General features: G+C 54.1%; 1 protein-coding gene across 12 annotated transcripts in view, besides 7 other annotated features; it reads right to left on the bottom strand.

Moving 5' to 3' along the window:
* The window catches only part of LDB3 (LIM domain binding 3), a 69,285-nt gene that overhangs the window by 16,849 nt on the left and 25,431 nt on the right, over positions 1-27,005 (bottom strand). For 5 of the 12 annotated variants that reach the window (NM_001368063.1, NM_001368068.1, NM_001171611.2 and 2 more), the window contains 2 exons: positions 26,653-26,689; positions 19,174-19,946 (listed from right to left, as the gene is read on the bottom strand). In NM_001368063.1, the coding sequence (NP_001354992.1) occupies positions 19,850-19,946; positions 26,653-26,689 (134 nt within the window). In that variant the 3' untranslated portion in view covers positions 19,174-19,849. Of the gene's footprint in view, positions 1-376; positions 498-1,079; positions 1,261-2,452; positions 2,898-9,173; positions 9,320-12,504; positions 12,694-19,170; positions 19,947-26,652; positions 26,690-27,005 lie in introns of those variants that run through there. The other 7 variants (NM_001368064.1, NM_001171610.2, NM_001368065.1 and 4 more) reach the window with 3 other exon arrangements.
* Positions 6,603-6,652: an enhancer, noted in NCBI's record as "active region_3696". NCBI's record gives its function as "activates an Ori minimal core promoter by ATAC-STARR-seq in GM12878 lymphoblastoid cells {active_cell/tissue: GM12878}" and the evidence as "EXISTENCE:reporter gene assay evidence [ECO:0000049][PMID:35858748]".
* Positions 7,197-7,816: an enhancer, noted in NCBI's record as "H3K27ac hESC enhancer chr10:88471165-88471784 (GRCh37/hg19 assembly coordinates)". NCBI's record gives its function as "activates a minimal SCP1, AML or CMV promoter by ChIP-STARR-seq in naive H9 embryonic stem cells {active_cell/tissue: H9 hESC(naive)}" and the evidence as "EXISTENCE:reporter gene assay evidence [ECO:0000049][PMID:30033119]".
* Positions 7,197-8,436: a biological region, named in NCBI's record as "hESC enhancers GRCh37_chr10:88470545-88471164 and GRCh37_chr10:88471165-88471784".
* Positions 7,393-8,082: a silencer, noted in NCBI's record as "silent region_2572". NCBI's record gives its function as "represses an Ori minimal core promoter by ATAC-STARR-seq in GM12878 lymphoblastoid cells {active_cell/tissue: GM12878}" and the evidence as "EXISTENCE:reporter gene assay evidence [ECO:0000049][PMID:35858748]".
* Positions 7,817-8,436: an enhancer, noted in NCBI's record as "H3K27ac-H3K4me1 hESC enhancer chr10:88470545-88471164 (GRCh37/hg19 assembly coordinates)". NCBI's record gives its function as "activates a minimal SCP1, AML or CMV promoter by ChIP-STARR-seq in naive H9 embryonic stem cells {active_cell/tissue: H9 hESC(naive)}" and the evidence as "EXISTENCE:reporter gene assay evidence [ECO:0000049][PMID:30033119]".
* Positions 18,338-18,838: an enhancer, noted in NCBI's record as "H3K4me1 hESC enhancer chr10:88460143-88460643 (GRCh37/hg19 assembly coordinates)". NCBI's record gives its function as "activates a minimal SCP1, AML or CMV promoter by ChIP-STARR-seq in naive H9 embryonic stem cells {active_cell/tissue: H9 hESC(naive)}" and the evidence as "EXISTENCE:reporter gene assay evidence [ECO:0000049][PMID:30033119]".
* Positions 18,839-19,339: an enhancer, noted in NCBI's record as "H3K4me1 hESC enhancer chr10:88459642-88460142 (GRCh37/hg19 assembly coordinates)". NCBI's record gives its function as "activates a minimal SCP1, AML or CMV promoter by ChIP-STARR-seq in naive H9 embryonic stem cells {active_cell/tissue: H9 hESC(naive)}" and the evidence as "EXISTENCE:reporter gene assay evidence [ECO:0000049][PMID:30033119]".

The following is a 27,005-nucleotide window of genomic DNA, read 5'->3' as shown; positions in this document are numbered from 1 at the left end:
GACTGGGTCTTGCTATGTTGCTGGTGTCAAACTCCTGGGCTCAAGCAATTCTTCTGTCTCGGCCTCCCAAAGTGCTGGGATTAAGGTGTGAGCCACCTCACCTAACCAGATCCACATATTTGATGCATAAAATAAGCTATAGACTCTGCACCTCACTCTCCCCAAAGCTGCAACCATATGGGCAGGGGAGATAGTTAACTTCCTTTGTGTGATATTAGCATGATTCTGCCATTAAAAGCAAAAACAAAGGTTTCTTCCAGAAATAAAGGCCTCTGGGTGGTCGGATGTGAATGGATTAGGCAGGAGTTAGTTCCCTGTGCCTGCCCCTTTCTCCCAGGCTGTGGGGCCTCCCCACATGCCATCGAAGTGTTCCTACCTTTCTCGCAGTAGGGCTCCCCGTCTTCCATGTGGAAGAGGCTGTTCCCAAAAGGCTTCTTGCAGGCCGCACAGACGAAGCAGGTGGTGTGCCATGTCTGTCTCAAGGCATGCATTACTTCCTGGGGGAAAGAGCCTAAGCTCAGGACAGAAAGGAGAGAGGGAGCGGGCTTGACTACCCCACCAGGCTCCAGCCACTGCCCGAGCATCCTACCAGGGAACAGGGCAGGAGATCTCAGGATGCAGGCCTTGGTCACTCTGAAGAAAGACCCAGGGGTGTCAGAGAAGGGGTTGTCACTCTCCAGCTGGGTGCCAGGTTCTGTGCTTTCTTACATAAACTGTGAGGCTTAATCCTCCCATTAAACCTGGGAGGAGGTACTGCTTATTACTGTCATTTACCAAAGGGGCATTGAGGGTTAAGGCCACATTCTGGTGAGTGGTAAGGTCAGGCTGTGAAGCAACCACTTGCTTTGCAGAAGTTCCACCACCACTTCAAGCTGTGTGGAACAGGCACACAATCATCTCTTGCATCAAGTTCATTTATCCCCAAGTTTATTGGTGGCAAACCAATTCCCTTTTAGGATAAAAATGGAGTTGCTTTCTCTGTTACCAGCAACTTCTTGGCTTCCTAATGGGATCCCACGATCTTGGGGAAGGGCTGGGGAAGAGACATGGGTCAGAGGAAATGGAGGCCTCCCACTTACCCCCATAATTTTGGTGTTGCACTTGGCACACAGCGGGGCAAAGAATTGCTCATAACATCGCTCACAGTAAACGTTGTTCTGCTCTTCCACAAAGCACACATCTGCCAGGGAAGTCTTGCAGTAGGCACAGGTGAACTCTTCAGGGTGCCAAGAACGGCCCATGGCTACCAGAAATGGGCCCCTGGGGAAGCACAGAATGGCACCCAGTAAGGCAGCTCCCAGAACTTGGAATTAGATATTTGAAGAACCCCAACACTGTTTATACTTTTACCCAATAACTCTGACTTTTGTGACTGTTCTGATGAAGTAATGTGAAATTCAGAGAAAGCTCCATGCAGAAAGGTGTTCATTGTTGCATCACTTACAATAAAGAAAATCAGGAAGCAACTCAAACATCTACCAATAGGGGACTGGGTAAACATATTATAGAATTCAGTTGACCACTGATAATGATAGTAAGAAATGCAATAATGATGATGCTGATGGCTAACATTTATTAAGTGATTACTCTGTGTCAGGCTCTATTCAAGAAGACTTTTGCATTTATTAACTTGCTTAATTCTCACAACAATCCTACGCACTAGGTACTATTATAATACCCATTTTTAGATAGGGGAATTGAGGCACACAGAGTTTGAACAACTTGTTTAAGGCCATAGGGCTAGTAAGTGGTAGACCAGGATACAAACTTGTATTGTCTAGTTCCAGGTTAGCAGTCAGAACAGTGGGACTATGAAGACATTTTTTTATATTCTAATTTTTACTTTTCTGTGTTTTCCAATTCTTCACTAATGAGTATGTATTACTTTAGTTTTAAATAAAAGTGTATTTTTCACGTATATAAGCTCACACCACACATGCACACAAACATACTGTATTCAAACAACAGCACCCATGGTCCATGGCTTCTAAGTATGAAATCACTTGTTTTCATTTTAGTCTGGCAGATGCCCACCAACCCCCTGAGCAGCCCAGGCCTGTCTGTGGAAAGACCCAGAAACAACCCTAAAGGAAAACTGGGTCAAAACCAACACTGTCTAACAAAATGCCCTGTAAACCTACTGACAAGCCTGGTGATTCCCAGACCTCAACCTTAGCCCAAGGGGGAGTTCCTGGCACCAGGCATCCTGCTGGAGCTTCACCCACATACCTCATGCCATTCCTCCCAGCTCCCTGGGAGAGTGGGTGTCACACAGGTATGGCAGCTAAGGCTCAGAGAGGTAAGACCAGATGGCAAGCCAGAAGGACCCGAGGCTTTCTCCCTACACCTGCCTCCTACCCCCATCTCTCCCAACCAGGGCTCAGACTGTGGGCAAGCACCCCACACACACGCCCTTCCAGTGCCCCAGTGCAGGGGCACAGCTGGACCATACCGGATGACATTGTTGCAGTGACCGCAGAGTGGAGTCCGGCTGCTGGCTGGGAATCGCTCAGCCCTCTGGACGGTCCCCCTGGCAAGTGGTGGCACCTGAGGACCCGCTGGGGTGTAGGCTGGGCCTCCCCGGGGCAGGGTCTGCTTGCTGATGGAGGTGGTGCTCTTGCCCGGGGCAAACTTCTGGGAGAAGCTATCATCTGTCACCCAGGGTGGACGGCTGGCAGGCTCCGCAGGGCCCCCGCTGTAGGCCACCGAGGGTGCAGGGTTATAGTTGGGGGCAGGTGAGGGGGTATAGGCTGGTGCTGGGGATGGAGTGTAGGTGGGGACAGGTGAGGGGGTGTAGGCAGGGGCAGGGGAGGGGGTGTAGGCAGGGGCAGGGGAGGGGGTGTAGGGAGTGGGACTGTAATTGGCCCCTGGGGACGGGCTGTAGGTAGATGCAGGCACTGCAAAAGCCAAAAAAAACCCAAAGAAAGGTGTGTCAGGAATTCATTCTTCCCAGTTCCCCTCACTCCTAGCCAGAGAAATGCAAAAGGTGACTTTAACATTAGAGCAGTACAATTTCAGTTTTTTTGGGAGACTTGTTCCTGAACTTCTTGATGGCCCAGATTTGAATTCTCAGCAGGGTGTTCACAGAGCTAGGGAGCAAGCACAGCAGAACCCTCGACAGGGCTGGAAAAGGGACATGGCTATAAATATTTGCAGCTGTGCAGGGTGGGGCTCCGCCAGGCCTTGACTGCCCAAGGCCTGCATAAGACGCAGAGTGGGGGTGGGGGTACCTGGGCGGGGAGAGGTGGGAGTGGGTCACCTCGCCTTTGACTGCAAGATGCTTTCAGTTGCACTCTGACCAGTGATTTGACATCTGAAATACCTCCCTTGGCATAAGTTTGCTGAACCTGGACCTAGGTCAGCCCTCAGGACAAAACAGGTGACCTGGTAGCTGGGTTTTCAGGTTCAGGTTTCAGGTTTAGCTACAATTACTTTCTTGAAAAACAGCTTGGCTTGATTTGTATTGGGGGGCAATTCCGTCTTGGTTTGATTAGGGTGGGGGATCTTGAAGGAGTCATTCAGAGGGTGCTGGGCAGAGACTCTAGGGTGACACAGCCTAGAAGTAGCTGCTCACTTGGCCCGTGGCTGCCTTGGGGGACCCCTGTACTCCCACATCGCTTTGGTGGAAGCTGAGAGTGTGTCTGAGTGACTGTCTAAAGATTGCCCAGGCAGTCAGAGCACAGGGAAGAGAATGCACCACCTCACTTCTATCACCCCCTCCTCCAGCTCCCTGAGAGCAGAAAAACGTTTTGGGCTCACAGCACAGAAAAAGCATTGCCACTGCTTACCCACAGCCCTCTCCCGCCTGGGCCCTCAACACCTAGCCAGGGCAGACCCAGCTGCACCCTGCAGGCAAGGTCCAGCTGGCTTCCTCTTCCAGTGAGTGAGGTTCCAGAAGCCTCACCACATTTCAGTCTGCTCCTCAGCAAAGAGGCCTCATTCCCCCAACCCTAGGAAGCATGTCAGCACAGCCTCCCTCCCCATTCCTGAGCTCAGTATGGGCAGGATGGACTGCATTGAGGCAGTCCCTGCACCCACACCCCGCCTCTGCCCCCCACCCCATACTCCAGCCTCAACCTGGAGAGGAAGGTTTTCCTTAGGGCCTAAGACCCTGGCCCCATCTCCAGTCTCTCTTTCCCACCTGGTTCCCCTGGACCGCCTGGGGCAGCCTGTGGCTCCCACTCTGCACCTTCCACTCCCAGGTGACCCACCCTTCAGAGCTGGGTGAGCTGGAAATCCCTGTGCTGGGGGTGAGTAGGGACCAGGTAGATAGGATCCATCCATGTTGTTGAAGGAAGAAGAGATAAAACCCTCCACAGCCCTGCCCTGGAGCCATCCTGCCAGTGAGGCCTTCAAAAGATAATACCGGTTGGGCATGGTGGCTCACGCCTGTAATCCCAGCACTTTGGGAGGCTGAGGTGGGCAGATCATGAGGTCAGGAGATCGAGACCATCCTGGCTAATGTGGTGAAACCCCATCTCTACTAAAAAAATACAAAAAATTAGCTGGGTGTGGTGGCGGGTGCCTGTAGTCCCAGCTACTCAGGAGGCTGAGGCAGGAGAATGGCGTGAACCCAGGAGGCGGAGCTTGCAGTGACCCGAGATCGTACCACTGCACTCCAGCCTGGGCAACAGAGCAAGACTCCATCTCAAAAAAAAAAAAAAAAAAAAGATAATACCTTCTCCATAAGGAATCTTCCTCCCCTTTAGGGGTAACGAGGCACATAGCATCTGTCATCTGAATCGGTCTTCACATTATTCCCTCTTTACACTTGAGGTCACTGAGGCTCAGACAGAGCTAGTAAGTGGGAATACATCTCCAAATCCATTCATTCTATCATCCCAAGCTGCCTCTGTAAAGAATATGAGTCCAATTTCTAGAAAATCTCAGTGCAACATGTCAGGGAGGAGTCATTTTCAACATGAAGGAGACCCCCTGCTGTGGAGTCTTGATAGCATAGCCAAGAGCCCTGGCTGCAGGATCCAGCTCTACTACCTCCTGGTTTTGTGTCCTTGGGCAAGTTCCTTAACCTCTCTGGGCCTCAATTTCTTCATCTAAAACTGGCAATACTGATTCTTAGTATCTCACAAGGTTATTATGAGGATTAAGGGAAGGTAAGAAATATAAAGAGCGTAGCCTAGTACCTGGCATAGTGTGTCACTAAATGTGAGTGAGGATGGCAAGGATGGGGGCAACCTGGGTGTCAGGGTCAGATGTACTGTCAGCCTGTCTCATGGCCTGCTGCTCACCTAGGGAAGCCCAGCCCAGTTAGACTGGTAGCGCCTAGGGTTGGGGGAGAGGAGGGAAGGGAAATGGAACATCCTGAAGTCAGATAACCTGAGACTGAGGTCTATTCAGTGGTGGTGGAATGCCTGACACCCTGCCTGCCCCACAGGGCATGCTGGGGACCTGCTGGGGTGACATAGTGAATGGATTTTGTAAATGTGTACAGCCCAAATTTGAGGTATTGTCACCCTCCCTAACAACTTTGCAGAGAATATCAAAATGCTGGGGGAAGAAGTGATTCCAGGAACACCACCAGGGACAGAGAGCAGGGAGAGGTGATCTAGCACAACTTCAGAGCAGCTTCATCCCTCTGTTATATATAAGGGGGTTCTGTGCAACATTTTCTTTCCTTTCTTTGTGAAGTGCAATTCTCTGCTAAAAAAGATTAAGATTGGCTGGGCGCGGTGGCTCACGCCTGTAATCCCAGCACTTTGGAAGACTGAGGCCGGTGGATCACTTGAGGTTAGGAGTTCGAGATCAGCCTGGCCAACATGGTGAAACCCCGTCTCTACTAAAACTTCTAGTAGCCGGGCATGGTGGTGGGCGCCTTGTAAACCCAGCTACTCGGGAGGCTAAGGCAGGAGAATCTCTTGAACCCGGGAGGTGGAGGTTGCAGTGAGTCGAAGTCGTGCCATTGTACTCCAGCCTGGGCAACAAAAGAGAAACTCCATCTCAAAAAATAAAAAGATTAAGACCAGAAGCCCTAATCCTGCGGTGTCCAATACATAGTGCTACGTGGCCGATGAGCAGCTGAAATGTGGCTAGTCCGACCAAGAAGTGCCGTTAGTGTAAAACACACACCAGATTTTGAAGGCACATTAATAATTATTTTATATTGATTATATGTTGAAATTATATATATATATATATATTTTTGAGACGGAGCCTTGCTCTGTCGCCCAAGTTGGAGTGCAGTGGCGCAATCTCGGCTTCACAGCCACCTCTGCCTCCTGGGTTCAAGTGATTCTCCTGCCATAGCCTCCCGAGTAGCTGGGACTACAGGCGCCCGCCACCACGCCCGGCTAATTTTTTGTACTTTTTTAGTAGAGACGGGGTTTCACCGTGTTACCCTGGTGGTCTCGATCTTCTGACCTTATGATCCGCCCGCCTCGGCCTCCCAAAGTGCTGGGATTACTGGCGTGAGCCACTGCGTCCGGCCTGATATCTTAAATATATGTAGTCAAAGAAAATATATTAAAATGAATTTAACTTGCTTTCTTTTATTTTTTAAAAATGTGGCTAATAGGAAATTTCTATTGCGTGGTGCTGCCTTCACCAAAATGACTGCTTCCACATGCCAGGCCCTTTACGTGCCTTATTACTCGCTGCAATCCAAGGAGGCAGATAATATTTGCAAGTCCATTTTACAGATGAGGAACTGAGACTTGGAGAGCTTAAATGGCTGCCTCCAAGTCATCCAGCTGGTGAACTGCTTAGCCGAAACGAGCTCAGGCTGCCAGACTCAACAGCAGATGCCCGCTTAGAAACTCCCCAAGCAGCAAAACAGGCTTTAGTACGCCCCCTTTCAAGTAAACAGGGCCCTGGCCCACCTTTCCTGCCTCCCTCCAGCAATACTAACCCTATTCCCCCTGCCTGGCAGTCGCTTCCCTCCATCGGAAGGCCTTACAGACTCCCGGATCCACCTCCTTTTCTTTTCCAGCCCCCACAACACAGAGGTCTCACAGAGGCAGGCTAGAATCTGGACCCCGATTTGACGGCTTCCTTGCTTGGGGCTAACCCACCCAGAGAAGGAACCTCCCCGGCCTCGGTGGCCCGGCCCGGCAGCTCCGTTCCCCCGTCGCAACCCCGACTCCGTCGGGGGGCGAGCAGGCAGTGGCGCTTCGCAGCCCTCAGCTTCTGCATCCTTCAGCCTGGCTCGCCGTCACGCCAGGAGAGACCTGATATCCCATCTCGCAGCCCCGGGGCTGTTGCTATTTTTGCGTGACGGAATTAAGCCAGTCTAAATTAGAAGGTGATATTTCATCTCTAATTGGCAAGTTCAAAAGTCCCCTATCGCACTCGGCGGGCTCGGGGATATGTAATTAAACAAGGTGATTTCTGACTCACGCCGGGCCGGGCCCGGCTCTCCGCAAGCGCCTGGCCGCCGCCCGGCCCGCGGGCCAACGTGACCGTCCCCGGCCCGCGCGCAGGGTCTCCGCGCCGCCGCCGCCCGCCCCCTCCCGGGCCTCAGGTGTTCCGGGGAGCGGCCGCCCACCTCGGGCGCCAGCGATAAGATCCGGCCTGCGAACGCCGCCCTCGGCCCGGAGGAGGCCCCGGGGGGAGCTGCGGCTGCGGCCGCGGCGCTCCGGGTCCCGCGCGGGCTCCCCGCCCTCTCTGACGCCCGGATCCGAAGAGCCTGGAGGGAAGGGGAGCGGAGGGGGGCTCGGGACCACACGCCCCACTTCATACGGGGCCGCCTGCCAGCCGCCCCCGGACTCCGCTTGGCAGCCGGGCCTCCCGGAGAGGGAGGTGGAGGCAGGCCGACTCCAGCGCGCGCCCGCCCGGCCGCCTCTTTCCCCCTAGGCAGGAATGAGTTAATGTCTGCGCGGCCTGGGAACGGCGCGGGGGCCCGCGGCTCCGGCCCGTCTCGCTCGCCTGGGCCCCAGCCCGGGAAGGAGGAGGAAGGAGACGCAGGGCGGGCTGGCCGCGCGCCCCCGGAGCCCTGACGCCGCCTGGCGGGCTGGGCGAAGACAGCCGGAGGCCGCCCCGGAAGGTGCCAGAAGCGCCTCCCCAGGAAGAGACGGAAATGTCCTCCTTGTGCCCCGGCAAGGCCTCGCCTCCACCCGCCGCTTCTCCTCCAACTCCTCTCCAGCCTCCCCTCCCTGTGTTCCCAGTCTCTGCAGGGGCAGCCTCTTCCCACTGCTCCATCTAAGGCTTTTCACTACTGCAAAATGCCACCTCGCCCTGCGGAGTTTTCACCTCAGAACCGTCTATCCTTGCCCCTTCTCTGTAGGGACAGAGAAGGGCACCTCCCGTGTGACAGACGCTGTGCTGGGTGCTTCATTCCATCCCCAGAACACAAGGTGTCCATGAACAGCGCAGCCTGGATGGATGAGGCACTTTGCCTTCGAGAGCAGAGCAGGCCGTGGCACCGGCCTCTGTCTCGGGCAAAAGCCGCTTCGACCGCCCACACTCAGCCCTGCTGTCAGAGCGAGCTTCATGAACCAGCGCCCCGAAGCAAGGCCTGCCCTGACTCAGTGCCTGTCTCATCTCCCTGGGCTCCAGCGGCAGAGAAAACTTCCCTGGGGTTTCTCCCTGCGCCTGGATAGGACCTGCTCCCGAGTCTAGGCTCCTTATGTGCTGTTCTGTACCCCCATGGCTGCGGCCAAATCTCGCACACTGGCATGACACAGAGAAGATGGAGTCTCATTCTGTCGCCCAGGCTGGAGTGCAATGGTGCAGTCTCGGCTCACTGCAACCTCGGCCTCCCGGCGATTCTCCTGCCTCAGCCTCCCGAGTAGCTGGGATTACAGGTGGGTGCCACCACGCCCGGCTAATTTTTGAATCTTTAGTAGAGATGGGGTTTCGCCATGTTGGCCCCGGCGGTCTCAAACTCCCGACCTCAGGCGATCCTCCTGCCCCAGCCTCCCAAAGTGCTGGGATTCCAAGTGTGAGCCACCATGCCCGGTCCGGAGAAGACTTCTCTGCTCTCCTTCGCTCTCCCTTAGAATCATCCACCGCTTTCTTGCTCACCTGTCTCCCCCAGACCAGATGCAGGCTCCATAGGATTCTGACCCACAGCTAGGGGACGGAGGGCGGAGCATCATTAGCAAGGCCTTGCTTCCCATTCTTCTGGGGATGTGCCCCCAGAGCCACTTCTTGGCTCTTGTGGCTCCTGGAGCCCGCCCATGGCTTTCGACAGCCTCCCCTCCTGCTCTGCCTCTTACCTGGCTGGTAGACAGAAGGCCGGATGCTGGCAGTGGTGACAACCCGGGGCTTGGGTGCAGGGGCGGCGGGGCCCTCACTGTAGCTGGTGTGGGTGGCAGGTGCTGAAGAGGCGGCCACTGCGGGGCTGTAGGAAGAGGCCTGGGGCCTGGAACCAAGCGGGGAGGGGTTACACCCAGAAGGACAGCCCCCACTGGGGCCTGCAGTCAAGGCAGGCTGGCTCCCAGGTCTTCAGAAGCCTCTGTGAGGACACCTGACAGAGACATTTCTGGGGAACTGCCAGAAACTGTGAAGGAAGGACCATGAGGGTCTTGGAGGGGAGGAGGATGTTCCTTGGGTGGCTAGTGCCACCGCCTTTGGAGAGAGGGAGAAAAGCCACCAGGAGGACACCGGGAAGACCCTTCACTCTCATGGGGAGAGACTGTCCAGGTGGGACTGTGGAAGAGCGCATAGGTAGGGGAGAGGAGAGAGATGGCGCTGGTCAGAACTACCTACCCCCACGACCTTGTGGGGCACCTCAGCCCCTGACCACCTGGCCTCTTCTGCCTACCCTTTTCTATTGTTGCTGGAAGGAACAGCAAAGTCTCAGGTTTCTGGGCACAGATGCTCCAGTGAGAGCTCAGGGGAAGTCAGGAGACTGCCCCCGCCTGCTGCCCAAGGCACCCCCCTCTCCCCCAACACACACCTCTTCTGCATAGAGTTCCTGTTGCCCTCCTCCAACTGGGTTAGTTTTCAAGGGGCCTAGGGTCACCTTTCCCCATGTGTGGCCCAGGGACAATGGGGTCAAAGAGATTTTAAAAAAAGCGTCCTAGTTCATTACCCTCAGGAGAGTCTGTGCGTCGTGGCCTCTCCTCCCAGAGAGCTGAAGGCTCTGAGAACTCCTGGAATCCAGCGGCCTGTTGAGCCTTGTCTGATCAGTGTTCCCCAATTGTATTTGTTTGTAAAATGCTTTTCTTCATTTAAAACTAATGAACACCTTGCAGAACACATCCCTGGTCTTTCAGATCTCAAAGGGGACCACATGCCCACACCCAGGGCAAATGGGTTATTGCTAGAGGTGCTGGAGAAGTGAGCCCTGCCTGCCACCCCCACATGGCTTTCTGCCTTCCTTCTGTCTGTTCCTCAAGGACCTGGGGCCTGCCGATCCCTGCTGGGCAGAGCTGTAGGATGAGGAGTGCCTTCCTCTCTGGGGCTCTGAGAAGGGACTGGCCCTGGCATGAGAACCCACCACCAAGCTTCTGAGTGGATCCAGAGAGGTCTGAGGGGCTGTCCCAGACAAGGCGGAGATAAAATGAGCCTCAGGGAGCTGGCATCCCAGACCAGGGGGCTGTGCACACTTGCCCTGTCAAGCTGCCGAGTTTCTGGCTGAGTGAAGCTATTGTCTCCCCTCCCCAGGCCCACCTGCCCTTCTCTGGATAGATTCCTGTGCTAAGACCAGCAGAGTAGGGGTCTCCATGGAAGAGGAAGAGACAGTGTCCAAGGGGTGCCAGGCTTCCATAGTGATGGGGGCGGGCCAAGGTGCAGTGGTCTTAGCTGGACTCCATCATTGGAGGACACTTTGCCCACAGCCCAGGAGCTACAGGTCCTGAGTCAGGGACTGGCACTGGGAAAGGGAGCAGAGGCTTATGGCATCCATTGAAAATTCTGAAGCCATGCTCCCATGAAAGGCTGGGGAGTCCATTTGCCTCCCATGGGCTCCCCCACCTCCCGCTCCACCCCAGCCCATGTGTGAGGAGCGGAGGTAGCTTTGCTCAGAGTGCAAACCCGTGACCCCTTCTGCTCCAGCCCCACTCCCCGCTGGGCAGCCAGCCCTCTGTGCCCCTCTCCAAGCTCCACCCAGGTCCCAGCTCTCCTGGCAAGGCAAAGGGAAGGAAGGGAGGACTCCCCCTGTGGGGGGCATCCCAAGGGTTCCAGGAGCTCAGCCGTGGGCAGGCCCAGGACACTGAGACCTAAGCCTGGTGCTGGTGCCTGCCTTTGAGCAGGGTTGGGGCCCCAGGGATGAGGCTAGACTGCCTGCAGGGCTCCAGCATTTATAGCCCCTCACCATTCATATTGGGAGGCTTCTTCCCACTCAAAAACAGAGGCATTTCTTGCCCTCCTCAAAGTTTCATCTTTCTGCAGGTAGCAAGGCCTTTATATGAAGAGATTCTGGTATAAAGAGGGGAAGCAGTGTCCTAAATCCCCCCAGGAAACTGGGATGAAACCATCCCTGGAGGGCCAGGCTCCTCCTTCAGGCTTGAGTTGGGCTGGGGAAAGGTTGGGCTTGGCACCATGTGGTTAATGTGAAGCCCGGGATGGGGGCAGCAGACAGGCCTGCAAGCCGGTTTGCTCACATCAATCCCACCTCAGGCTGCACCATGGACCTACCCATCCTGATCCAAGAGGCATGTCCTCCCCAGCAAACCGTGGGGGCCAGGGTGGGAGGCCTGGGACACCTGGGCTCTGACCCCAAACACTAACTGGCCTACTCTTGGAAGCCCAGACAGAGAGCTGGCCCCATCCAGCCTGATGCGCCACATGGCCACTGCAGAGTGACCTGTCAGCCTGGCCTCTCTGCCTTCGCTCTTCTCCCCTGGCCTTTGGTCTCTGCTTGCTGGGTGTCTAGGAGGGCAGATGCAGGAACTCACAATACTTGTGTCCTTCATATGTATTAGGTGTTTTACAGACATTTTTTCTATCATAATTCTATATAATAAGTGTTAGGTAAACATCTTAACAGATGAGGAAACTGAGGTTCAGAGAGCTTCAGTCACTTTTTCAAGGTTACACACAGTAAGCTGTGGAGCAGATATAAATCCCACTATACCAGGTGCCTCTGGCGTTAACATGGCTGAACTCTCTGAGGAAATCTGACCTGCCTTCCCTGCCCAGCTCCAATGCTGCCTCCTCCATGGAGCCTTCCTTGATTTCTCCAGCCCACAGGGACAACTTTCATTCTATCTAATTTGAGTTCCAGGAACAAAGACTTTTTCCACAGTCCCCTTTTGTTATCTAACTTTGTGTGTATGAGTGTGTGTATGTGTCTGTGAGAAAGAGAGAGAGACTGTTACCTCTCTCACTGGTATATGTGTCAGAGAGAGACACTGTTACCTCTCTCACCGGTGTATGTGTCCCTGGGGGGCAGAGTGACAGTCCCCGCCACAGTGGTGCACACCCCTGTAATTCACCCTCAGTTTCCCCTTCACACTCTGCACCAAGCAGCGCTGGCCTTGGCTTCCTCTAGGCCTGCGGGCCCTAACTACCTTGGACACAGCTGGCCACAGGTAGACCCAGAGTGGGGCGTTTCCTGCCTCCCTTCCCCAGGGTCAGGCCCAGCACCTGTGGCCCAGTTACCTTGGGCTGTCGGCAGGACTTGAAGCAGGGGCTGTGGTGGAGGCGGAGGCGATGGCAGTGTGGGCAGCAGCTGTGGCCAGGGGTGGCGAAGCCGCACTGGGAGAGGCAGCAGCAGGTGGCTGGGCAGAAGCGGGCAGCAGCGGGGTGGTGGCCTGGCTGGTGCACACCGGCGCATGCTCAATAGGGGTGCTGATGAGGCGGGACCAAAAAGACAACAGGTCAAGGGAGCCTAGAGACCCTGTGAGGCCCCTCTGCATGGGGGCAGGTGGCTGCAGCAGAGGCAGGCTGGGCAGAAAGCTCCACCTGCCTTGCAAACAGAGTAGGATCCTCAGAGGGTGTGTCTTCCAGCTCAGGGAAGGAGCTCCTCCAGGATCCCAGGAGCAGAGGCTCAGACCACAGGAGGGTTCCAGTAACATCAAAAACTTTTTCAATCCTGGAGGAATTTCCCACCCCCACCCCTCAAATTTTTCTGTACTTCCTAATTTTTCTTTTTCAGCAAAACAGTGTGGTAGAAAGGCCGATGGAATTATCCACCCAGGTTCCTCCCTGATCCTGTTTTCACCCTTCCCCATTCAGTCAGGGGGCATGTGCTACCTTGGGAAGGAATGATACAGCAAAAAAAGCAGAGTGAAGATATTTGAGTGTCAAGGGCTTAGGCTCTGGAGTTGTGAGAACCTAGGCTTTGGGCTCGGAAGGACTCAGGGCACCAACAAGACAGATGGCTGAAAGCTACCATGCCAGGCAGAGCAAGGTTACCTGGACAAAAGTGGGCACTGTGGCAAGGGGATTCAAGAATAGAAGCCCCTGTGCCCCTTTTCAAGGTCAACCCTGAGGAAGCAGCAGGACCCCAGGGTTCCCCATGCCCATGGTGAGGGGCCAGGCAGACCTGAAATAGCCCAAAGATCCCCATGCCTCTGTGTGGCCTGGGTGCCCTAGAGGATTTGCCATGCACCCAAGAGTGACAAGAACATGGTCCTGAGCACCTGCAGATCTGAAAGACCTTGTAACTGGGAAAGAGAAAGGCGACCACACTGCCAGTGTGGACCAGACGGGTTGGGGATGTCTCAGCAAATGCCAGTGCAGGCAGAACCTGACAGAGGACCAGGTGTGCCCCCACACCCCCACCCTGAGTGCCTTGGCATTCTGTAAGCACCTCTTCCCTAGAACCACTCTAGGAAGACAAGAGCAGTCAGAGCTGGGTTGCTAACTGTAAAATGGGGTGGGCAGAGAATAAAAATTAAATTATAGGAAAGCAAAGAAATGCACATTCTTTACTCTTTGATTTGTTTTTGCAATAACAGCAACTGGATAAATGCAGCTTCTGCAAGTGGGAATGACTCCCCCTACACTATGCAGTTTGTTTATTGACCTCATGCTATGTGCCAGGAATGATGTCTTTACTTCCTCACAGCAGCCCTCTGATGTTGGTATCATGGACTCTTATTTAATAGATGAGGAAATGGTAACAAAGAGAATTCAGTTGCTCAAGGTCCTACAACTTATCAGTAAGAATAGCAGGATCTGATTGAGGGATGTTGTGATTTGAATCCTTAACCGGTACCTCATGGAGGAAGAAATAAACCTCTTGTTGTGATCAGCCAAGTAGACTCTTTCCCCAATAAAAGGCACTATTCTTATTGGAAATAATTAGAATAACAATACTTTGCATTACTAAGTGCTTACCACAGTAAAAGAAATTACCCTAGCCAGGCGTGGTGGCTTATGCTTATAATCCCAGCACTTTGGGAGACTGAGGCAGGTGGATCACCTGAGGTCGGGAGTTCGAGACCAGCCTGACCAACGTGGAGAAACCTTGTCTCTACTAAGAAACAAAATTAGGCCGGGCACAGTGACTCACGCCTGTAATCCCAGCATTTTGGGAGGCCGAGGTGGGCGGATCACGAGGTCAGGAGATCGAGACCATCCTGGCTAACACAGTGAAACCTCATCTCTACTAAAAATACAAAAACAAAATCAGCCAGGCGTGGTGGTGGGTGCCTGTAGTCCCAGCTACTTGGGGGCTGAGGCGGGAGAATGGCGTGAACCCAGGAGGTGGAGCTTGCAGTGAGCCGAGATCACGCCAATTCACTCCAGCCTGGGCGACAGAGCGAGACTCCGTCTCAAAAAAAAAAAAAAAAAAAATTTAGCTGGGCGTGGTGGCGCATGCCTGTAATCCCAGCTACTCGGGGGGCTGAACCCTTGAACCCGGGAGGCAGAGGTTGCGGTGAGCCGAGATCATGCATGCCATTGCACTCCAGCCTGGGCAACAAGAGCGAAATTCCATCTTAAAAAAAAAAAAAGAAATTACCCTATTACTCAATTTTATCATTTAAACCTCCCTGAGCCATTGGGATTGTGACCCTCATTTTGTAGATGAGAAATCTGAGGTCCAGAAAGATTGTGTCTCTAGTAAAACATCACAAAGCTGCAAAATGGCAAAAAAGGGCTTGGGGCCTCACCACTATAACACTTTGCAAACTTCCATGTGTGCTTGAAGCCCCTGGGGATCCTGTTAAAATGAAGTTGATCCTAGTTGAGTAGGTCTGGGGCAGAACTGAGCATCCACATTTCTTTCTTTCTTTTTTTTTTTTTCTCTTTTTTAAATTGAGACGGAGTCCCGCTCTGTTGCCCAGGCTGGAGTGCAATGTCGCGATCTCGGCTCACTGCAACCTCTGCCTCCCAGGTTCATACAATTCTCCTGTCCCAGCCTCCCGAGTAGCTGTGATTACAGGCATGAGCCACCATGCCTGGCTAATTTTTCTATTTTTAGTAGAGTTGGGGTTTCACCATGTTGGCCAGACTGGTCTCGAACTCCTGACCTCAGGTGATCCACCTGCTTTGGCCTCCCAAAGTGCTGGGATTACAGGCGTGAGCCACTGCACCCGGCCAAGAGTCCACTTTTCTAACAGGCTTCCAGGTGATGCTGATGCTGCTGGTCTGTATACAGGCCACACTTGGAGTAGCTGACACTAAAGGGGTCTGCCCTAGATAGGAATGCAAGCGGGCCCTCAGCTATTTGCAAAAGCATTACTGAATTACTTTCCTTCATCTGGTGAGGTGTATGGTAAAAAGGGCATGAAATATTGTGACAGGGTCACGGAAGAATGGAGCTGGAGAAGTGGCAAGGTTGAGGTTGACTGCCCCCATGGGAGAGAGAGTGCCATCCTTCTCCATAACTGCGTGGGAAGCTTTTGGGATGGGCAAGAGCAGTGGTTACATCCTGCCCAGGTCTTCCCTGACTTAATGCTCAGGGAGGCGGTCTTGGGCAGCCCAGCTTGCAGGCCTGCAGCCGTGCCTGGCCCTGGCCCTTCCACGAACCCACCTATGAAAGAACCTCGCTTCTGGAAGCCATGCCGGTGATGTGACTGCCTCAGAGAAGTAGCTGCAGTCTCTGTAGCCACGCCACTGAGCTGGCTGCTCAGACCCTCCTCTCAGTGTGGGCAGGTATGGCCTGGGACGGCTCAGGCTGACACAGAACACTGATCTCCTTTATCTGCTCTCCATGGCCCTACACCACACTTCCAGTAGGCTGCTGGGAAATGAGGACACTGCACAGGACAAGGACAATGACAGTGTCCAGGCTGGGGACAATATTCTGTAGGATGAATAGGAGGTTGGCTTTGCCTGTCTCCTTGGCTCCAATTCACTGTTAGGCCAGCTTACCTGCTGCTCTCCGCAGCCAGAGCTCCAAATGAACCCTGGATTCCAGGGCATGAAGTTGGAGCTGGATGTGGGCCCTAGGAAAATTCATCATTGACCACAGCACCAGGACGATGATCACCACCAGGTATACCTGGGTATGCACGTAAGGGAGCCTGCTGCTTGGGGTTCTTGCTGAGTAGCATCCTCTCTAGCACACTGTCTAAAGACACCAAGAAGCCAGGGCTAGGGAAGGCAGAGGAGGCATCAAAGGGTATCTTGAAGGATCTTGGGCTCTTATTCCAGGTCAGTTCCTGCCTGAAGTTCCACAAACCCTCTGAAGCATTCTGAAGGGGGCATCATAGAGCAAGCACTGTGGAGAACTTACTTGGTCCTGGCTTCATTCCTAAGGACAGTGCTGGTGAGATCACCCCATCCTGATCTAAGGTCTACAGTTGCCTCCTGCCTTAGTCATAATTCAGTTTAAACATCTAAGCAAAAACCAAATCAAACCAAACTAGGCCCACATGCTCATGGCTCCATGGGGGGTTGGCGTGGCCAGGAGAAACACAGCCTGACCATCGTCCCCTTTTCAGCTTATCTCTTCCCTCAGTCTGGTCAGCATCAAGGTGGAGCATGTTGACTGTGTGCCCCTGCTCTTCCATGGTGGCCCTTGGTGGTGGGAATGGTGGGGTTTGGTTGATGCTGTTATTGATAACTATGATATTATGTCTGGAAAGGATGGGAATGGTGGTGGTGATGCTGGGTCTTGGGGTTGTTGCCACTGGGCTTGGTCAGAACTGTTGGTGATGGTGGGGGCCTTGTGATTGGTATTGACAGTGCTGAAGGGGTGGTTGCCACTGTGGGGGTGATGATGCTACTTGTGTTAGTTAAGATGGTAGAGCATGAAAATCTCTGTTGATTGGGTGATGATAGAATGCCAGTCAGGTGGTTGGTCTTGAAATTATTCATGCTGCCACCCACCTGGTCTATGTTCCACCTTGCTGCCTGGTGACTATGGCTCAGGGGAACCCTGAGCTGCATCACTTTGCCCCAGGAATGCTCCATGCAACTCCAGGGCCCACATTGCCATTGTGGTCTAGATGAAGAACACCTCATCAGCTATAGTGTGAAAGGCACCCTACAGCCTTTGCTAGTTCCACTTTCCTTCAGAATGCATTCAAAATCCCATAGCCTGGGAGTCTAGATGCAGACCACTACTAACCATGACATCCTCTGCATTCTCTCCATTCCAACTAAAATGATTAACTTGGGGTTCTGGGACACCACTTCTCATCAGCACCTCTGCTTGTTCTGCTTAGAGTATCTGTCCAGCCTTTTGTATCTGCTTCCACCCAAATTCTAACCATTCCTGATGATAAAATACACTGACCTCTTCTTCCAGGAAGCCTTCTTTGATCCACCACTTGGAGGGATGCTCCCTGTCTCTGGACCATACATGATCAACCTTGCATTGGGAACACAGCCGCATCGGCCCTTTCCGATTCCTTTAGCACCCATAGTAGTCAGGCACCTCCACAAATGCCCACAGACACCGGATGCTGAATGAGAACATCTCTCCTGCTTATACTGAGGGGTTTACATGGAACCCAGCCTGGGGCCCCCCAGGGCACTACATGAAGGGGTCTGGGGTAGGTGGGAAGGCAGGGCTTCAACTAGGTGGCTCCAAGAGAGCTCCGACAGGCTGGGGTCTGGGAGCAGGGGTCCAAGAGCCCGCCAACTCTTAGTGGTTGGCTGAGGCTTTGCCAGCCTCAGGATACCCATTGCCCAGGACCTCTCTCTATCTGGCAGACCCCTGCCCCCAACCCACCCTTGGGCCTTGCAAGTCCTCTGTAAAACATCAGCCAAATATGAGTGTGTTCCAGGAGGCCTAGATGAAGGCAGCGGGATGAAGGCTGCCTGGCCCGGGCATCAGACTGCTGGAGGCAGGATGGGGTGGGAGGCCAGAATAGGTTGGCAGGGGGCTTTAGGGAGCATCTCAGGGTGGATGGGCAGGAGAGAGCGGCCTCAAACACCAACGCTTCCTGGTGGGATTGCGAAGGTTCCTGGAGGCAGAGGGAAAGCCTCTGCCCAGGCAGCAGGAATGGGCGCAGAGCTCTGGCTAGCCCAGCCACAGAAAAGGCAGGACAGCCTTGAGGGCTGGGCCTCAGCATCTGCTTCTAATGTAAGTGCCACCACTCTCATGTCCTCAGCCTGTGATTTCACACAATCAGGGACATGGAATTGGCCTGGAGAAGCTTTGCCATCATGGGGTACTTTCTAAGTGGTCAGGCCTGGGTCAGGTGAATGGGGTGCTAGCTAGTGGCTTACAGCTCAGCAGGACATGAGCCTGAGGCCTGGCTGGGATCTTTTTGGCTGCTGCTGCCCTTCCTAGCCCTTCCTAAATGCCCAGGACTAGGACAAGGCCACAGGTGGGTGGGAGCTGGGAGCAAGACCCAGGTGGAAGCCTTCCCAGCCCTCTTGCCTCCTGCCACTTGAGCAAGAATCTGCCAGGGCTGCCTTCCATCTCTTTTCCCCTGAGCCCCAGCCCTGGCCCCCTGAGTTCCCTTGTGAACTGCTTCTCAGCCCAGGTGTGCCCACTGGAGCCCTTCTCTCGCCTCTGGACCAGGATCGAGCATAAGTAGCTCCTTCCTGTGAGAACAGCTTGCGGGGTGCCTTCTGATGGGGTGGGGCAGGACAATGGCTCAGTCTGCTGGTTGCAGCAGGGTGTGGAAGGAGAGGCAGGGGGCATTCGAGTATTCCCATATGCACTGTCCTGTGGGTGACTAAGGTTGCCCAATGGGCCTCAGCACAGATTCCCACCAGCCATCCTCCCGCCGTGGGTTGCAGCTGGGCTCGGAACCTGTGGGGCAGGAGAGCAGCAGGACCAGAGCTGCGCTGTGTCCTGGGGCCGGTGGACACAGCCCCTGCTCCTCTTCTGATGGTGCCTGTCCTCTCTCTGTCCCAGATCATGCCCTCACAGCCCCTCTTGGGTGGGACACACACAGGCACAGCATGACTGGGGCTTGGTGTGGTTCACTTCAAATCTTCTTTATTTCAGAACAAGCATGCTTATATGTACAGAAGAGAGAACTATGGAGCCAGCACACACGGTACAGAAAGGAGGGTGCATGCCCCCACCTCACCACTGCCAGGAGGGGTCTCTGCCTCATTACCCTGGGGCTTCTACTTCCTCTTCAAAGAGCCCTATTCCGGGCTGCCCTGAGCTCCAGAGGGCAGCGAGGGAGCCGGGCAGCGCCAGGGATCAGCCTCTTCCCCAGACCCTGATCTACGGGTGACTCATTCTAGGAGGGGATGAGGCCAGGAGCTGAGGATGGTGGGAAACTGAGCAGCGGCCCATCCATTTCCCTTGGTTCTGGGGTGTTATGCCAGCAAACCCCTCCTGCCCTCTCTGGTCTACAGCTAAGGCCCTGTGCAGAGGGCAGGGGATTGGGCTACGGGCTATTTGGGGGGTGGCGAGGGTTGCCCTGGGGAGGTTTGGTGGGTACAGAGCTGCAGGGGGCTGGGCCCCAGCATCAGCTCTGGGGTGGGCAGAGGACAGAAATGCTGCGGTTGGCCATCAGAGGTGCCCCCAGCAGAGTTATACATTGTCAAGCATCACCGTGGGGCTCACATGCCAGATCTGTGTGGGGGTAAGGATGGAGGGAGTCCAGCCTGTTGGGGTGGGGGGATTCCAGGCAGCCTTTTAGCTTTTAACATTAAGGATTTGGGCTGAAAGGCCATGGTGCCAGTTGCGCAATTTGGCAAAACGTGGGCTGTTACGTTCCGTTTCAAACCTTTCCCTGTGGCACAGAGAGAGAGAGAGAGAGAGAGAGAGAGAAACAGAGACAGAGACAGAAAGAGAGAGAAGAGAGGGAGAATGAAAGGGGTTAGGGAATGTGTTCACCATTCCCCTGTCTAACAGGTGGGGCAGAGGGCATGGGAGGGAGGGAACGGGCTTGGAGAAGCTATGCAATCCATGGGGTACATTGTAACCCAGGTCAGGCCTGGGTTAGGGGAAGACCGAGAGTCTTGGGGACCAGGATGGAGGGACTGAAGTCCCTGCCTTGAGTGAGTTGGGGGCTGTGGAGAAGGGACCTGGCTAATGGCCCTGAGGGCAGACTGAGCAAAGAGGGCCTCCCTGGTCCATGTAGTGAGGGCTGGGCAGGGCTGCTTTGGCTGTGAGCTCTCAGGATTGAACCAAACAGACAGGTGCACCTCGCATGATCTCTGTCCCCTAGCTGGGCATCAAGAAGAAGGAGCACCTATCCCCCGTGATGAGGCTTGGTGGGCAGACCTGCCCCTTCCCTGTGCTGCCCTGGCCTCGAAAAGCCTCACTGTCCCCAGAGAGAAGATTTTGCACACAGCCCCTGCCCACCCCTGCTCGCCAGGCCTGAGCACAGCCTGGGCACATGCGTGCATACCCACACATACTCACAAGGTCACTGTCACAGATACAGGGCCAGGACTTCTGGCCACTTCCCACCAGTGGGGCCTCTTGGGGCTCAAGCCACACCTGCTCAGCTGAGGCCACAGTACAGAGCAGGCAAGCAGCAGTCAGAAACGTGGGAATGAATGGAGGAAGAGAGCACCTGAGAAAGGCCAGTGCCACAGGCGTCAGAATCCAGGCCTTCCAGGCTGGAAGGGCCGATCACATCCTCCAGACCAGAGGTGCCCACTGGTGGCCAAAGGGCCCCATCCAGCCACAAACACAGTATGTTTAACCTGTACGGTGCTTCCAACTCAATTTAAAGATTAATTTCTGAGTCCATACTATGAGATGCTTCTTAGCAATAAAAGGGAATAGATGAACTATTGGGACACTCAACCACTTGGGTGACCCCCAGGAATTATGCTGATTAAAAAATGGCCAATCTTAAATGGTACCATGCTGTATGATTCCATTTATATAACATTCTTGAAAAGGACAAAATTATAGAAATGGAGGACAGATCACAGATTAGTGGTTGCCAGAGGTTAAGGAGGTGGGTGGGTGCTGGAGGGGAGTGGGTATGGCTATAAAAAGGCGGCATGGGGCATCCTGGGTGAAGGGAAGTTCTGTGTTTTGCCTGTATCAGTGTCAGTATCCTCGTTGTGATATTGTGCTTTCATTTTGCAAGATGCTACCATTGGGAGAAGCTGGGTAAAGGGAACTAGGGATCTCTATTATTTCTTATAACTGCACTGAATTTGCAATTATCTCAAAATAAAAAGTTTAATTAAGAAGTTGGCTGGGCGTGGTGGCTCATGCCTGTAATCCCAGAACTTTGGGAGGCTGAGGTGGGCAGATCACGAGGTCAGGAGTTTGAGACTAGCCTGGCCAATATGGTGAAACCCCGTCTCTACTAAAAATACAAAAGTTAGCCAGGTGTGATGGCATGCGCTTGTAGTCCCAGCTACTCGGGAGGCTGAGGCAGGAGAATCACTTGAACCCGGGAGGCGGAGGTTGCAGTGAACTGAGATTGCACCACTGCACTCCAGCCTGGGCGACAGAGTGAGACTCCATCTCAAAAAAAAAAAAAAAAAAAAAAGAAAGAAAGAAAAAGAAAAAAAAGAAGTTGGCCGGGCACGGCGGCTCACGCCTGTAATCCCAGGACTTTGGGAGACCGAGGCTGGTGGATCACTTGAGGTCAGGAGTTCAAGACCAGCCTGGCCAATATGGTGAAACCCCATCTCTACTAACAATACAAAATTAGCCGGGCGTGGTGTCACATGCCTGTAATCCCAGCTACTCAGGAGGCTGAGGCAGGAGAATTGCTTGAGCCTGGGTGGTGGAGGTTGCAGTAAGCCGAGATCGCGCCACTGCACTCCAGCCTTGGAGACAGAGCAAGACTCTGTCTCAAAAAAAAAAAAAAAAAAAAAAAAGTGAATTGCTAGCATATAAAAATCAGGAAGAGCAACTTTAAGTCTTTGAAAAGAAGATGTGGCAGTGCTGGCCTTCTATTTCTGCACAGTAACAGTCATCGGGGCTGGCCCCCATGTCCCCACACTCACAGAGGTCCTCGGTTCTGCACCTGCTTTACCTGGCAGTCTCTGTCTCTCTCTACCCCTTGAATCCTGCATACTGGGTCTCTGTCTAAGACTGTTTGACAAAAGGGACCCACTGCTAACATATAACATATTTGAAAACCACCAGTCTAGTCTGAACTTTCCTTATACTAAGAGGAAGCTGAAGCCCAGAGAGGTCACATGAATGACCTAAAGCCACACAGAAACTCAGGGGCAGAATCACAATCTAAGTGCCAGCGTCTTCTTCCCTTGCCACATACCTGCCTATCTGAGGTTGGGGTAAAGGGGTGGAGATGGCATGAGCAAAGTCCATGTGGTGGGGCTCCTTGAGTCCTGCTGACAGCACTACAAACAGTCCTGACCATCCCGTAGACACTACCGAGGACACAGGGGCACAAGATCAGACACAGGCAGTTTGCCTGTAAATCGTCAAGTCCTAGCAAGGCCTGTGGAGGCTGGGTGATAGTTTGTCATTAGTGCTTAGTGACAGGGACAGGGACAGTCCTGGAGAGTCCAATCTAGTGAGCATGCTCTACTTGAAGCTGTTTAAAAATCCTCAGCTAGCCAAGGAAAGGAGCCAGGAGAGGAAGGCACAGGAGAGAGGAAAAGAGACAGGAGAGCAAGAGCAAGAAAGACGACCTCCCAGGGGCTGCTCAGGCAGCGGCACCTGGGGCAACATCCCTGGTGCTCCAGTTGTGGTTTTCAAACTCGCTAGGGTGGCAGAACACCAGGGACTCAAAATCCAAAAAAGAGAGGTAATTTTTTCATTGCTTTCTTACAAGGGGCCCATTGGCGGGGGCACCCATTGGCAGGAGGGCCCTATGCTGTGCGGCGTGTAAGCGAGGTGGCTGCAGGGGGGGCAAAACTGAGAGACTGCGCAGCAGAGGGAGGGAAGGGGGCATCTGAGAGGCTGCAGGAGGGAAGAGGGGGAGCCAGTGAGCCCTGGCATCTTATTGGAAGAAGCTTAATGGCTGCATGATAGAAAACGGGCATGGAAGGATTTTTGCATGATCTGGGATGGAAAGGGCTATGTGATGCACCTTCAGCTCCTCTAGGGACTCTTCACTAAGATCAGCTTTGTTCCTAACGCTTGGAAAGATGGGGAGATGCAGAGCTCTTTACCCAGGCAGGCATCAGGGAAACGCAGAGGCTGCACTTGTAAGGGATCAGGGGCATGTCTGGGTTACATGCTGGGCTACATCCTGGATAGTTCCCCCCAGCAGTGGGATCCAGATGCCTCGCAGATCCAAGCCCTGCCTTGTCCCCACCCCTATCCCCAATGTGGCTGCCCAATGTGGATCTGACCTTTTGAGTGATCAGGGCCCTGGAATGCCTTTCCAAAGTCAGAAGGAAGCTGTGGCGATGACTCTGAGATTAGAGGCTCAGTTTGTGGGATGGAGGCACTATTTCAGCTACCTCCGATGGAAACTGGGGAGCCACAGCGTCACCTATACCTACTAGAGTAGTTCCCATGTGGAAGTAGGCAGAAGGCTGATGTTCAAGGCAACCTGGACAGTTTCCTAAGGTGCCTGGTCCTTCCAGGGTGGGAAGTTCATAGCTGATGCCTGGCCTGTTCAGGCCTCCCCCACCTCACCTGTAAAGAGTCCCTGGAAATTAGACTCTGTCTTGGGCTAGCCAGCAGGTTGGCACTGGAGCCTCAGATGGAAGCTACGTGCTACCAGACACAGAGATACCATCAGGAGCCAGGACCCGAGAGGAGAAGAGGGCTGTGAGCTGCCCTGGGACTCTGGGGGTGGACCTTGGAGGCAGAGCAGTGATGGAGGTGAAGGGAAAGTTTGCAAAGTCTTCTTGACATGTGTATTCACACTTGACCTCGAGGTCCCAGAGCCCCTGCCTGGTGCAGAATGCCTGACACTACTCACTCAACATTCCCGCTAACTTTCTCACCACACAGCACCACACAGCACCAGGAAGGAGAAAGCACCTTTGCATGGGCATAAGACTGTGTAGGTGTCACCATGCACAGGATTGGCAAACCCAGGCTCTGCTGGAGTGAGACACTTGGAAGCAGTTTACAGGGAAGCCTTCCTGGGGAAACTCAGCCTTCAAGAGAGACCCTGAGAATCCCCGCTGGGATTTGGGAGGAGAAAGAGAAGGTAGGTGGCTGCTCTCAGCCAACAAGATGGGCCAGGAGAGTCTAGGGGTGCAGCTTCGAACTTGGGAGTGGGGACAGATAGAAGTGTGGCTCAGGCCTCTGAGGAGCAAGACCCCTGACCAGCCTGGACCAGGGTGGGACAAGGCATGTTCCCTTCTGCTCAGATAGTGATGTAGGTGAGCCTGGGGCCCCAGTCATGACCAGTGATCACACACACTGCTTTAGGCTTCAATCACAGACAGATTAGAACTGCTACACCCACTGCACCTGCCTCTGGGTCCATGGGATCACTGCTTGGGATTCAGTGACATGGGTGGCTCTGCCCACGAGGATAACTCTCCAGAAATTAAAGTCAGAAGAAGGGAGAGGAGCCCCTCCAGACCTGGGCAGAGGCTGGCTGGGTGCTTCAGAGCCTCCACTGCAGGGCCTGAGACCCCAGAGAGAGGTGCTGATGGGGTGAGGGAAGTTGCCTGGGACTGAGGGAGGAAGCTAACTGGAGCCACTTCCCAGGCCCTCTTCCCCAGATTTCCCTAGCATGAAACCCTGCCGTAGCTGGGGGAGAGGCTCCGAAAGCTGCCTTTTGCTGAGGCTGAACCAAACTTTCATGGGGTTAGGCCGCTGGTGAAAGGACTACTCTCCCACCCTTCAATTACCCTCAAGACCAGGCAGAACAAACTTCAAGAGATGCTCCTTGAAGGAGGGAAGGGGAAGGCCAAGGATGAGGCCTGGGGACCACCTTCAACACTGCCTTTGTGCTCTCCTCACTCAATAACTTTGCAGAGCCTGCAAATATTCCAGGGGAAAGAAAAGACAAAAGTTTGCTGCAATGCACTTCCACGGTACTCTTTCCCGTTCTAATGACATCTGGTTAATGAGGCACAAGCTGAGCGTGACTGCCTTGCATATCGGAGGGAAGCAGAACATTAAGGAACCAGAAGGGAGCCAGGAAGGCAGGACTCTGGGTCTCAGAGGAGGGAGAAAAAAGGCCCCCTGCTGGCCTGTTGCTGGAAGGAACCCGGGGGGATTTTGAAGCCGCTTGCTCTGGGGTGTGTGATTTAAAGACTTTTTTATCAAATGTTTGGGAACATCTGCATTGCACACTGAAGCAGCTACATGGGTGGCTTCTAAGAGGAGGGCAAGACAAGCATGGGAGCAGCACGCAGGGACAGCGGAGCACAGCGGGAGGGGAGAGCTGAGAGCTCTGGCACTTAAAGCAGCTGGAGCTTAACTTTTGAGCTAAATCAAACATCACTTCATCGCGGACTCTCTAGATGCCCTGCAGGCACTGAAGGGTTAAGAACTGTTATTGGGACTGCATGCCATCCTTAGCAGGCCTGGGAGGACCCCACCTTAGGCTTGGATGCCTGGCCAAAAAGTGGGAGCAACTTGAGTTGGCAAAAGTGTTGGTTCAAAAATAAAATCCACAAGTCTAAGCTGGCTCCAGAGTCCTACTCTGCACAGGTCACATGGCCACTGAGTGTTGGGCCTGCTGGTTAGCAAGTACAGAAAGCTTGGCCCAGGATGGGAGGGTGCCTCTGAGCCCCAGCCCCTTGCACAGAGGCTGCCACAGGATGCACTGGCCCAAGGCAGACAGTGCCGGGAAGAACATGCAGATGACATATTTGCTACCGGAAGTGTACATACAATCACAATGAGCCCTACTCCTTACCATGGAAGGCCCCAGCGGGTTCCAGTGAGTTCCAGGATGGCATGCCCCCCCCCATGCCCACCTCATGCTATGAGCACCTGACGGGCCACAGTGGTAGGTTGGTGGCTGTGGCCTCAGACCTGCAACTGATGGGGAAACCATGCTCTAAGACCCCAGCTTGGCACAAACCCATCCTCATGTCCAGGGCTTGTTCTTTTTTTTTCAGCAACTATTTTGCTTTGAGCAACTTACAGAACTGGTACCTCAATGTGGGTCTGGACAGGTGAGTCCAGGGGTCAGGCGTTCACGTCCAGCACAGCCCCCTGTGTGCCTGTTTCTCAGTGCCCAGCCTTCGGAATCATAGGGGGACAGGCCCTGAGATGAGTGGGTGGGCAAGTTGGCCAGCCGGGTGTCCTCACAGGGAAAGTTGCCCTCATTCTCAACAGCCCAGCAAAGGCCAAAGCAGCCCTGCCCCCTGCCCAGGGATGAAGCTGGGAGAGCCCAGAGCCTTCGCTCTTGTAGCCTGGGCCTGGAGGACAGAGACTCGGGTCCAGGTGCCCACCTCACTGACTCACGATGCTGCCTCAAGCTAGTGTCAGCTGGAGCCCTTTGCAGGCCAGGCTTTCCAAATCCATGAACTTGAGAGGTCCCTTCCATGAGTGATGTGACCTGGGGGCTGCCCGGGGAGGGACGGGGCTAGAGGGCAAGGCCACAGAGCCTGAGTCCAGGCACTTACCTTGACCTTCGCAGAGCTTCTTCATCAGGGTCTTGCACTGTTGGTAGAAAGGAGCTGGTCAGGGGACTCACGGGAGACACAGCAAGGAAAGCTGCTGGGGCTCTGTGGGCACTGAGTCCCCAGGATTCAGCCAGGCCCCACACGGTGACTGCCCCCTTGCCTGTCCACTGTGTGCTGGGCAGAGGCCCCAGAGGACATTGGGAAAGAGTCAGGGGGTAGCCTGAGAGGGCCTCATCCCAGCCCTGGGCAATCATCTCGCCCGGAAGTTGCACACCAAGCCTGCTGCCCACTGCTGGAGTTGGCATTGGAGCAGAAGGCTGCTGTCACCGGACAGCCTGCCTGAGAGGCCCAGA

This window comes from Homo sapiens, chromosome 10 (genome assembly GCF_000001405.40).
Source record: "Homo sapiens chromosome 10, GRCh38.p14 Primary Assembly".
NCBI lineage: Eukaryota > Metazoa > Chordata > Mammalia > Primates > Hominidae > Homo > Homo sapiens.
This window is presented reverse-complemented; position numbering and strand designations above follow the sequence as displayed.